Genomic DNA, 12911 nt, shown 5'->3' with positions numbered 1-12911 from the left:
GTCTCTACTAAAAATACAAAAATTAGCCAGGCATGGTGGCAGGCGCCTGTAATCCCAGCTACTTGGGAGGCTGAGGCAGGAGAATTGCTTGAACCCAGGAGGCAGAGGTTGCAGTAAGCTGAGATCATGCCAGTGCACTCCAGCCTGGGCCATAGAGCATGACTCCATCTAAAAAACAAAAAAAACAAATAAACAAAACATTTTCTTTACCGGGTGCAGTGGCTCATGCCTGTAATCCCAGCACTTTGGGAGGCCAAATCAGGTGGATCACTTGAGGTCAGGAGTTCACGACCAGCCTGGCCAACATGGTGAAACCCCGTCTCTACTAAAAATACAAAAATTAACCAGATGTGGTGGCACGCACCTGTAATCCCAGCTACTCGGGAGGCTGAGGCAGGAGAATTTCTTGAACCCAGGAGGTGGAGGTTGCAGTGAGCCAAGATGTCACCACTGCACTCCAGCCTGGGTGACAGAACGAGACTCTGTCTCAGAAAAAAACATAAAAAAAAAGAAATAAAAAATAAAAAAAAATTTTAGATGAACTATAATATACCTACAGAAGAGTGCTGATATCATAAGGGTACAGCTCAGTGAATTGTCATCAAGATAGAATTATTACCCTCCCACGTCACCACCCCTTAGGTCAACAAGTAGAACATTACCAGGGCCCTGGAAGTCCTGTTGTTGCTTCCTTTCTTTAATCACTACCCCTCTTCTGGCCGGCAGAGGTAATCCTGACTTATAACGCCACATATAGATTTTGTCACATAAATAGGCACATTTAAGAATTTGACCCATTTTCATTTGAAATTTTCTATATTCTTCTAGGTTATAAAATTAATGAATTATATTTTGAATGAGACCAGCACTTGTACATATATTTAGTAATTAATAGAAATTGTTTAGGTAATTAACATGAAATATCAAATGAGGAAAACTTACTTTCCTATAGTCATTATTTTTCTATATAGTGAAAAGGAAAGGACAGTGGATTCTTAGATTTGTTTCATGTTTTACTTTTCTAATTAGTTGATGCCTTTACCTGTGGTTAAGATATGGAAAAAGCAATAAATTATTTAGGATTTTCTGCTCACTGAATTTTATTGTGTTTAAAAGCATTTAAAAACAATTAAGTATATACGTGCACTTATAAGAAATTTGATGCAAGCAAATGAGACTAAATGTTGGCTCCTTAGAGATTTTTTAATGTTTCCTTTGTCTTCCCTCTTCAGTGGAAGCATTGACATTTCCTCCTTCTTCTGGAAAGTCATTCATCATGGGAGCAGATGAAGCCCTTGAAAGTGAACTGGGACTTGGAGAACTAGCAGGCCTTACGGTGGCCAATGAAGCAGACTCACTAACTTATGATGTAAGTAGTAGTTTTGTTTTTGTTGTGTTTACTTGGTTTTTAAAAACAAAAACTTGGGCTGGGTGCGGTGGCTCACGCCTGTAATCCAGCACTTTGGGAGGCCGAGGTGGGCGGATCACTTGAGGTCAGGAGTTCAAAACCAGCCTGGCCAACATTGAGAAACGCTGTCTCACAGAAAATACAAAAAATTAGCCAGGCATGGCGGCAGGTGCCTATAATCCCAGCTACTAGGGGGGCTATGGCAGGAGAATTGCTTGAGCCCGGAAGGCAGAGGTTGCAGTGAGCCAACATCGCACCACTGCACTCCAGCCTGTGCAACAGAGTGAGACTCCGTCTCAAAAAAGTAAAATAAAATAAAAAGTTGATTTTATAGAAAATGAAGGCAATGGTAAAACTTCTTTACAAGTGTAGAACTTGGTTCAGTTTTCATTGCAAACTTTGAAAGATACGTAAAGAAAAACTAACATTTTTCCATAACCTAGAGATTAAAATTTTGGGCTTTACCTAAATCCATAATTGAGTATGATTTGTTTATTGGTTTTTGATAGGGGAAAGAATTCCTTTTTCCATTACCAAATTTGGATTTTGTTTTCTTTTTTAGGGCACCAGCAATTAGTTGTAATTCGTGCCTACCTAAACAATATTTGCCTTGCTTCTTTAGTACACTAGTCAATATCCTGTTGAGAAGAGATTTTAATTAGTAGTAGGCATGGATGTATACAGTGTGCTTTCCAGATGTTAAGGCTGACCCATCAGAGATTTGGACCAAAATTGAAATCTTTGTACCTTTGGGCATACATTTACTTAATTCCAAACATAATTGTTTTATAAATGTGTTTATAGGGCTGGGCACAGTGGCTCATCCCTGTAATCCCAGCACTTTGGGAGGCCAAGGCGGGTGGATCACGAGGTCAGGAGATCGGGACCATCCTGGCTCACACGGTGAAAACCCGTCTCTATTAAAAATACAAAAAAATTAGCCAGGCGTGGTGGCAGGCGCCTGTAGTCCCAACTACTCGGGAGGCTGAGGCAGGAGAATGGCGTGAACCCAGGAGGTAGAGCTTGCAGTGAGCCAAGATCTCGCCACTGTACTCCAGCCTGGGCGACAGAGCAAGACTCCGCCTCAAAAAAAAAAAAAATGTTTATAATTGCTCATCACAATAAATAATTTATTAGAAAAATAGTTGCTTATGTCATAGGTGAAGTATTTATAACCTGCCTTATTTCATTAAATTCCTCTCACTTTGATAGTTTATGATCTCTGTTGGAAAACACAATGTATCTCTTGCAGCACAGGTACCATGCAGGGGATGTAGGATGGATGCCTAAGTAAACCATAGGTACGGTAAAGAAGCACTCCAAAGAATAATGCTTACCACTCACTCCTCTTCATACAGATAAAAAAACTCCCAACCTGTTTGCTAAGCCCATTAGTAAGTCTTTTGGGTTCTACCTCCAAAGACAGTTGAAATCCGTATACTACTTTTCATTTTCTATCCTGGTCCATTTTTTTCTTAGCCAGAGCTACTACAATAACCATCTAATCTAAATGGACTCCTTGCACTCCATTCTCCACAAATATGATACAGATTTACAAAAAAAAAATTTTTTTTTTTTTTTAAGGCAGGGTCTCACTCGGTCACCCAGGCTGGAGTGCAGTGGCTTGATCTCAGCTCACTGCACCCTCCGCCCCACCGGGCTCAAATGATCCTCCCATCTCAGCCTCCCAAGTAGCTGGGACCATAGGCACGCACCATCACACCCAGGTACTTTCCTTTATTTTTGGTAGAGACAGGCTTTCGCCATATTGCTCAGACTGGTCTCAAACTCCTAAGCTCAAGCAGTTCACCTGCCTCAGCCTCCCACTAAATGCTGGGATTACAGGTGTGAACCACCATGCCTGACCTGATAAAGATTTAAAAAAAATCATTTGTAAGCCAGGCGCGGTGGCTCACGCTTGTATCCCAGCACTTTGGGAGGCCGAGGCGGGCAGATCACGAGGTCAAGAGATCGAGACCATCCTGGCTAACACAGTGAAACCCTGTCTCTACTAAAAATACAAAAAAATTAGCTGGGCATTGTGGCGGGTGCCTGTAGTCCCAGCTACTCATAAGGCTGAGGCAGGAGAATGGCGTGAACCCGGGAGGCAGAGTTTGCAGTGAGCCGAGATTGCGCCACCGCACTCCAGCGCGGGCGATAGAGCGAGACTCCCTCTCAAAAAAAAAAAAAAATCATTTCTATTTCCAATGTTTTTGTTGCCTTATATTTCATGTTTGTCTTTTTAAAACACTGTTAAGTTGATTTTTGCTTTTTTTTTGGTAATTTTTGATAACCTTTGTCTTTTAATTGGAGCATTCAATCTTTTTTTTTTTTTTTTTTTTTTTTGAGGCAGAGTCTCACTCTGCTGCCCAGGATGGAATGCAGTAGTGTGATCACAGCTCACTGTAGCCTTGACCTTCTAGGCTTAAGCCATCCTCCCACCTCAGCCTCCCAAGTAGCTGGGACCATAGGTGTGCACCACCATGCCTGGCTTTTTAATTTTTTGTATAGACGGGATCTTGCTATACTGCCCAGGCTAGTCTTGAACTGCTGGGCTCAAGCAGTCTGCCCACCTCAGCCTCACAGAGTGCTGGGATTACAGGCATGAGCCATCGTGCCTGGCTGGGGTAGATTATTTTTTATTCAACCTTCCACCTTTCTACTACTTGGAATTTCTACACTCTTTTGCTACTCTTCAGTGGGTACCCTAGAGAGTATCACATACATCTTTATCAAAATTTTCTATGCAAAGACCTTATAATGCTTTTAATTCTTAATTCCCACCCTACTTATATGTCATTCTTGTTACACATTTCTGAATATGTTTATCTTCTAAAAGAAAATTATTGTTTTGTACACTCTATACTCAGTTAGGATTATTTATTTTACATTTTACATTATCCTTTACACATTTTGCTTTTTAAAATTATTTTCTGCATGTCTGACTGTCCATCTGGGATCACTTTCTTTTCACCTGAGAACATTTAGTATTTCTCTTTAGTGAAGGTCTGTTGGTATCCAGTTCTCTCTGTGTCTTGTTTTCTGAAATATCTTTGTTTAGCCTGAGTGGGTCAACTGTTATTGCGTATTGAATTCTAGTTGGCAGAGGTGTTTTTTTTTTTTTTTTTTTTTTTAACTCTAAACATAGTATTTTACTGTCTTTGTTTTTATGTTTTCTGCTAAGGTCAACTATCATTTCTGTTGTTGGTCATTTAATGGTAGTCTGATTTTTTTCACTATTATTATCTGTGTCTATTTTTTTAGCCAAGGTTTGTTTTCCTTTTTATTTAAGTTTCTTGAAGTTCTTAAATCTTTATGGCTTGATGTATTTTCATCACTTTTGTGAAGTTCTCAGCCATTTCTCTTCGAGTACCACTCTAGCACCTCTCTCTTTCTCTTCTCTTTTTGGAACATAGTTATATGTGTGTTATACCTTCTTCCTCTTCTTCCTGTGACCTCTGTCTCCTATTCCCTTTATTTTTTTTATGATTCATCTTTCAGTTCACTAATTGTCTCTTCAGTAATCTGTAGTCAGTAGTTAAGCCTGTCTATTGAGGTCTTACAGTTTTTGCTCTTTTTTTTTTTTTTGAGACAGAGTTTTGCTTTGTCGCCCAGGCTGTAGTGCAGTGGCGCGATCTTAGCTGACTGCAAGCTCCGCCTACCGAGTTCACGCCCTTCTCCTGCCTCAGCCATCCATGTAGCTGGGACTGCAGGTGCCCGCCACCACGCCCAGCTAATTTTTTTTTTTTTTGTATTTTTAGTAGAGATGGGGTTTTCACCGTGTTAGCCAGGATGGTCTTGATCTCCTGACCTTGTGATCCACCCGCCTCAGCCTCCCAGAGTGCTGGGATTATAGGTGTGAGCCACAGCATCTGGCTGGTTTTTGCTTCTTGAATTTTTTTTTTTTTTTGAGGCGGAGTCTCGCTTTGTCGCCAGACTGGAGTGCAGTGGCGTAATCTCGGCTCACTGCAACCTCTGCCTCCCAGGTTCAAGCAATTCTCCTGCCTCAGCCTCTCGGGTAGCTGAGATTACAGGCACATGCCACCATGCCCAGCTAATTTTTGTATTCTTAGTAGAGACAGGGTTTCACCGTGTTGGTCAGGATGGTCTCAATCTCCTGACCTCATCATCCACGCACCTCAGCCTCCCAAAGTGCTGGGATTACAGGTGTGAGCCACCGCGCCTGGCCGAATTCTTTTTTTTAGATTGTTTACAGATTTCTTCCAAAATTTTCAATCTTGTCTTTTATCTCCTTGAACACAATCAACATTATTATTATTATTAATTTTTTTGAGACAGAATCTTACTGTCTTACCCAGGCTGGTGTGCAATGGCATAATCTTGACTCACTGCAACTTCTGCCTTCTGGGCTCAGGCTCTCCTCCCATCTCAGCCTCTTGAGTACCTGGGACTACAGATGTTCACCAGTACACCCAGCTAAAGCATGATTATTTTAAAGTTGAATTGGAAAGTCTGTAGTTCTTTTACTGTTATGTGTTGTTTCTGCTCATTTTCAGTTATATTGTCTTACATCCTTATGTACATGATTATTTTTATTTTCAAGAAACTGTTATTTGAAAAGTTGTCTGTAGAAATAACTTCAGACCAAATGTTATAATTTAAATTGCTTTTCTCAGATGTATGCAGCCACTGGCTCTGGGATCTGGGATCGCTTTATTCCATTTTAAATTTTTACAGTCCCTGCAAGCTTGGCTTTTTCTAGTTTACCCTTATGTGTAGGATGCCACCCTTTGAAATCATAACCCAAAGCAAAGTGACTTACTGAGCCCCACTGTCGTGGCAGGTTCATCAGTTTGTATCCCCATGACACTTCAAATCTGTCAGAAAAACTACTCGGCTTCTCAGCCATCCCCTCTGGAATCAGTAAACAGCATCTGGGGGAAAACAGCCGAAATATTGGGCTCACCTTTTAGGCCTCTCTGTTCTCTGGATTTTGGCCTGGTTTTTCTTCAGTATTTTTTGTCTGTTTTTTTTTATGTTTAATTCTGCTTTTCTACTTGTCCTTAGTGCAGAGGTGGTCCAAATTTCCTGATTTGCCATGGCTAGAAGCAGAAGTTCCCATTAGATACTTTTGTTCCCTCTATTCTATCCCCACAAAGAGTTTATCCAGTATGTAATGGAACTTAGTCCTCTCTCCAGATAAAGCTCATTCTTTTTTCATAGCTTTTAATTGTTAGAAAACTTGGTGTTAGGTCTGTCGCTCGGTTTCCCAAAGTAGTTCCTGGTTTCATAATAATACCAGTAACCTATGGCTATGTAACAAATTATGCCAAAACTTAGCGGCTTAAAACAAAAAACATTTATTATCTTCATAGTTTCTGTGGGTCAGGAATACAGAAGCAGTTTAGCCGGGTGATTCTGTCTTAGGGTCTCCAATGTAGTTGCAATCAAGATGTTGGCCAGAGCTGCAGTATCACCTGAAGACTTGACTTGTAGGGTGGATCTGCTTTCAAGCTCTTCCTGTGGTTGTTGAGAGGCCTTGGTTCTTTGCTGTCTATTGGTGGAGACTTTAGTTCCTTACCACATAGGTCTCTCCATGGGCTTTTCAGCATGGCAGCTGGCTCCCCCCAGTGTGAGTGCATGTGAAAAGAGAGAGAGCAAGAATACCCAAGATGGAAGATGTTACAACTTGTTATCACTTCTGCTATATTCTATTGGTGAAGAGACCAACCCCATAATGGGGGAGGAAACTATATAAGGTTTACCTATAAGGAAGTGGGGCTGATTGGGGCCATCTTAGTGGCTGCCTACCACATTAAGACGTTCAGAAGGAATTTGATTGCTCTTTCACATGAAAGCCTTTCAGGTGCTTAAAAAGAGCAGACATGATTCAACTCAGCTTTTCTTCTTCCAGAATAACCAGCCCCAGTAGTTACAGTAGTTCCTTGGATGATGTATTTTATGTTCTCTTATTATCCTAATTTGACATGTTCTATCCATTTTTTTTCCTGCAGATGTTTTATTGAGGGTAACTTCTAAATTCAGACTGCTTGGGTTTGAATCCAGGCCCCTCCACTTACTAGCAGGGTTCTTTGGGCAAGTCACTTAACTTCTCTTTTCCTGATGTGTCTAGTCTGTAAAGTAGAGATACTGTTACTTCCTTCTTCATAGAGGTATTTTGAGGACTAAGTGAGTTAATGCATATAAAGTATTTTCAGTAATGGTCAAAATAATGAATAATGCCCAAAATAACAGCTGTTGTTAGAATTGGTGTATTTTTGTCTTTTGTAAATAAGTAGTATTTCTCCAGTCTTTAACCAGTACAGTCATACATTGCTTAATGATAGGGATACATTCTGAGAAATGGGTTCATTAGGTGATTTCATTGTTGTGCAAACATCATAGAGTGTAGTTAGAAGCCTAAATGGTATAGGCTTTACAAATCTATACAGCATGTTACTATACTGTAGGCAACTGTAACACAATGGTAAGTATCTAAACATGTCTAAACATAGAAAAGGTCCAGTAAAAATACAGTGTAAAAGATTTTAAAATGGTACACCTGTATAGGACACTTATCACGAATGGAGCTTGCAGGACTGAAAGTTGCTCTGAATGAGTCAGTGAGTGAGTGATGAGTGAATGTGAAGGTCTAGGACATTACTGTACACTACCATTGACTTTGTAAACACTGTACACCTAAGCTGTGCTAAATTATATATAAAAAATTTTCTTCAGTAATAAATTAGACTTTGCTTACTATAATCTTTACTTTATAAACTGAATTTTTAAAAACATTTTGACACAGCTTAAAGCACAAACACATTGTATAGCTGTAGAAAAATATTCTCTTCCTTTATATCCTTACTCTATAAGCTTTTTCCTATTTTTAAAATTTTTAATGTTTATTTTACTTTTTAACTTTTTTGTTAAAAATGAATACACATACGCATATTAACCTAGGCCTATACAGGGTCAGGATCATCAGTATCACTCTCTTCTACCTCCACATCTTGTCCCACTAGAAGGTCTTCAGGGGCAGTCACAGTCATGGAGCTGTCATCTTTTGTGATAACAGTGCCTTCTAACCTGTCTAAAGCTGTTTTACAGTTAACTTTTAAAAAATAAGTAGAAGGAATATACTGTAGAATAAAAATTATAATAAATAACATAAACCAGTAACAGCAGTTTATCATCATTATCCAGTATTGTGTTCTGTACATAATTATATGTGCTAGACTTTAATACTACTGGCAGCACAAATAGGTTTGTTTATACCAGCATCACCACAAACATGTGAGTAATGTATTGTGCTACAACATTAAAACAGCTATGATGTTACTATAGGAATTTTTCAGCTTCATTATAATTTTATGGGACCAGCATCATATATGTGGTCCATCGTTGACCAAAATGTATTTATGTGGCACATGATTGTACTTTTGCTACCCTTATTTAAACTTAGTCTGATTGCTAGCCTTGGAGTGTGAAGAATTCATACCCTGTGGTGCTAGTGTAAAATCAAATATAATCTACCTCTTTAGCTTTTCTGTTATGTAATTGGAATGAAAAAATAGTGCTTTTTTTTTTTTTTCATTTTTGAGATTGAGTTACCATGGAGGGAAAGAACATGTGTGTTTTACCAGTGGAATGCATTCTTTGTGTTATCTCTTCGATTTTTAACATTTTATGTTTCCAGTTTATAAACTTTGCCTCCAGTTTGATGAAGAAAATTTAGCTATTAGAAAGTATTTAAAATCTCAAAAGTATGACATTTTAAAATGTTAGCAGGTTTAAAGATAACTTAGTTTTTCAACTCTTAACCCAAAATTATACTTGTATACTATAATTTGTGTTGAATTACTTGGTATTATTTATCATCCTAGTAAGATCTATTTTATATAATTTGATTCACTTTTTATATTGAATTATGTTAATTGTTTTTGTAATACACCTTTCATATTTCTTCAAAGAAAACTAGTGTTGGGTTATTGCTAATTTTGCTTCGTGGTTTGGTTATTTACATATAAAAATTATATTGTTTTAAAAATTGCAAAGTGATCGTTTATTGACACATCAGCAAGAATTAATGTTGAAATGCAAGTTTTTTCCCCTATCCTTAACTAAGTGTGTAGATATCTTTGTTTTGTTTCTTTAATAGATAGCAAACAATAAAGATGCATTGAGGAAGACATGGAACCCTAAGTTTACATTGAGAAGTCACTTTGATGGCATCCGAGCCCTTGCTTTCCATCCCATTGAGCCTGTTTTGATAACAGCATCAGAGGATCACACATTAAAAATGTGGAATTTACAGAAAACAGCCCCAGCCAAAAAGTGAGAATATTCTACTTTAACATTATTTGAATATTTTAAGTAACATTTTCAGCAGAAAACTACATATTTTATGATTTCTGTTAAATTTCCCAAACATTTCTTCTAGTTCTTTCTTCCATGTCATGTAATTTATTGTGTTTTTCCATTTATACAACCTAATGCTAGGTTAGAAAACTGATGCTTAGGAAGATATGGTATTATCTGTTGGTTTCACCAGGGTTTGTGAATACTGATTACAGTCTTTATACATAACAGTATTTTTAAATGGCTGCTATATTTGGGGAGCCCCTTGTCTATACTGAAGGTTTGGACTGTTCTTGTAAACAGGTATATGCATCTTTAAAATAATCAAATGTCCACCTCCACCTTGCCCCATTGTTTACTAGATTTAGACTTATGAGATGGAGCAGAGAAAAGCCTCACTGGGATGGGTGGAGGGTCTTGGTCTTGTCTTTTGGCCTTGAGACTTTAGGTACTTTCCATACCCACCAATATGTCTAGACTCAGAGGCTAACATGACTGCTAGTGCTCACCTTGGCCCTTTAGTTCCTGTCTAAGCATGGATAGACATGAGTTAGTATAAACCCTTTAAAAGTCACAAAGCTAAATCTGGTTCTACTTGCTTGGGTCCTTATCGGAGCTCCACTCCTTTGGGTCACATGTCAAAAAAAAAAAAAAAAAGAACCAGCATCTGCCAGCAAAGACCCTTTTGCAGTATTAGGCACTTTGTTATTATAAGAGTCATCACTGAACATCAAATAGAGGAGGTTACAAAAATTTTACTACCAATGGAGGAAATCTATTGCCTGGCTTAAGAGAGATCAGTGTCATTCATGCTGTGTCATACATAGGGTAGATGAAATACTTGATTTATCAGTCTGCTTCAGATAGCTCAACCAGATGTTGCTAAAACCAGATGGACTTTCACATAGATTAGGTGTTTTCAGAAGAGAAAAATAGTTTACTGGTTATACATTGTGAGATAACATGTCTATGCGTAACTGCGATACAGTGTAGAAAACAGTAAGTACGTGACTTTAAATCCAGTTTCCATCAAAGTCATAGCCAGTATTAGGGTATAGTGTACCTATAATAATGGTGTTCTGAGTAATGAATAAACTGATAATTTGGACAGTCTCTTCAGTATGAAGGATAGACATATTATCCTTATTGGAAAGGCAAGGAAATAAAAGTACCATTTGCTGATATCCTACTATGTGCATGATTGTGTCCTGGGGTGTTTTTTAAATTGTAGAATCCTATTTAATCCTGTGATTATTTGGTGTTATTCCCATTTTTCTGTTTTGTTTTAAACGGAGTAATCTGAAGTTCAGAAAGATTAAATAATTTGCTTAAAGTTAGCCAATTAGTGACAGAACTGGAAATTGAGTTCAGAAATTTATCTCTTCAAAGCTCATGCTTTTTCTCTTGAATGAAGCTGTCTTTCCCTTTAGTCAAATAGATTATGACAGGGCTAAAAATACTGTAACATGATATTATTACTAAACAAGAATCTTGTTTCTTGATGCCATGAAAGTATAATTGGTGTTAAGTAAGCTTTCTTACGTATCGTGTAGTTGAGAATGGTATATTCCCATAATGTTTGTATTTTTAAAGACAATTTTATGACATATGTTTAATTATACTGTTTACTGACACTTAGAATGGTAAAGTCATCTCTCTCTGATTTAGGAGCACTTCTCTTGATGTAGAACCTATCTATACATTCAGAGCCCATAAGTAAGTATATGTTTTTTCTTTATTTTAAACCGATATCTCTGTAAAATAGCCTGGTTAGGATATTTTATTTTCTTTCACTTACTAGGTATTCTTTGTATTTAGGAGTGTTTTTTTAATGTAAAAGAATTTGACAGATAATATAATGCTAAAACGAAGTTCATCATTGCCAAGTAGGGATTTGTGCTTAAATTAGATTTTATTTACATGGTGTTTAAGTGAGGTACGTATTTATATCTTTAAACTAGAGCCAACTAGGTTTAAATATTAGAAATTCCAGCTTTTTTTCCTCATATAATTTGGATTAAAATATTCAAGTGCCTCCTTTGGTAGTAGATACCCTACAATTGGAAAGATACAGAGATTAGCAAGGCCTCAGTACAAGGATGACACAGATTCACGAAGGGTTCCATATTTTTCTTTTTCTTTTCTTTTTTTTTTTGAGACGGGGTCTCACGCTGTTGCCCAGTCTGGATGCAGTGGCATGATCCAGTGGAGACAAGGTTTTACACTGTTGGCCAGGGTGGTCTTGAACTCCTGGGCTTGAACTCTTGACCTCAAGTGATCCACCCACCTCAGCCTCCCAAAGTGGTAGGATTACAGGCACCTGGCCGAAGGGTTTCATATTTTTCTAAACATGGAAACAAAAGAATATTACCAGCCACCACAGAAACACAATTAGTTACTTAGACCATTGACACTTTGTAGCAACTACACAATCAAGTGTGTGTAATAACCAGCTAACAACATGATCACAGGATCAAATGGGCACATATCAGTGTTAACCTTGAATGTAAAAGGGCTAAATGCCCCAATTAAAAGGCATACAGTGGCAAGTTGCATTAAAGAAGCAAGACCCAACTGTATTCTATCTTTAAGCGACCCACCTCACATGCAGTAACACCCATAGGCTCAAAGAAAAGGGATGAAGAACAATCAACCAAGCAAATGGAAAACAGAAAAAAGCAGGAGTTGCTACTCTAATTTCAGACAAAACAGACTTTAAACCAACAAAGATCAGTAAAGACAAAGGAGGGCATTACATGACAATAAAGGATTCAATTCAAGAAAATTCTTAACTATCTTACATATATATTTACCCAACATAGGAGCACCCAGATTAATAAATTCTTAGAGACTGTCAAAAAGATTTATATAACTTTACAATAATAGTGGGAGACTTTAACACCCCACTGATGTATTAGATCATCAAGGCAGAAAACTAAAATATTCGGGACCTGAACTTGATGCTTGACCAAATGGACCTAACATGTATCTACAGAACTCTCCACTGCAAAACAACAGAATATACATTCTTCTCATTTGTACATGGCACATATTCTAAAATCAACCACACTCCTGACCATTAAACACTTCTCGGCAAATTTAGAAAAACTGAAATCATGCCAACCACACTCTCAGACCAAACACAGTAAAAATAAAAGTCAGTGGCTGGGTGCAGGGGCTC

At 38.0% G+C, this 12911-nt stretch overlaps 1 protein-coding gene and 1 pseudogene across 3 annotated transcripts in view; both read left to right on the top strand.

Annotated features, from left to right (window-relative positions):
• The window catches only part of STRN (striatin), a 128839-nt gene that overhangs the window by 87277 nt on the left and 28651 nt on the right, over nucleotides 1-12911 (top strand). For all 3 annotated transcript variants that reach the window (XM_005264519.6, NM_003162.4, XM_011533073.3), the window contains 3 exons: nucleotides 1233-1369; nucleotides 9531-9706; nucleotides 11399-11446. In XM_005264519.6, coding sequence (XP_005264576.1) covers nucleotides 1233-1369; nucleotides 9531-9706; nucleotides 11399-11446 — 361 coding nt within the window. The remainder of the gene's footprint in view (nucleotides 1-1232; nucleotides 1370-9530; nucleotides 9707-11398; nucleotides 11447-12911) is intronic.
• On the top strand, nucleotides 11765-11862 carry RNU6-577P (RNA, U6 small nuclear 577, pseudogene; annotated as a pseudogene).

This window comes from Homo sapiens, chromosome 2 (genome assembly GCF_000001405.40).
Source record: "Homo sapiens chromosome 2, GRCh38.p14 Primary Assembly".
NCBI classification, from domain to species: domain Eukaryota; kingdom Metazoa; phylum Chordata; class Mammalia; order Primates; family Hominidae; genus Homo; species Homo sapiens.
This window is presented reverse-complemented; position numbering and strand designations above follow the sequence as displayed.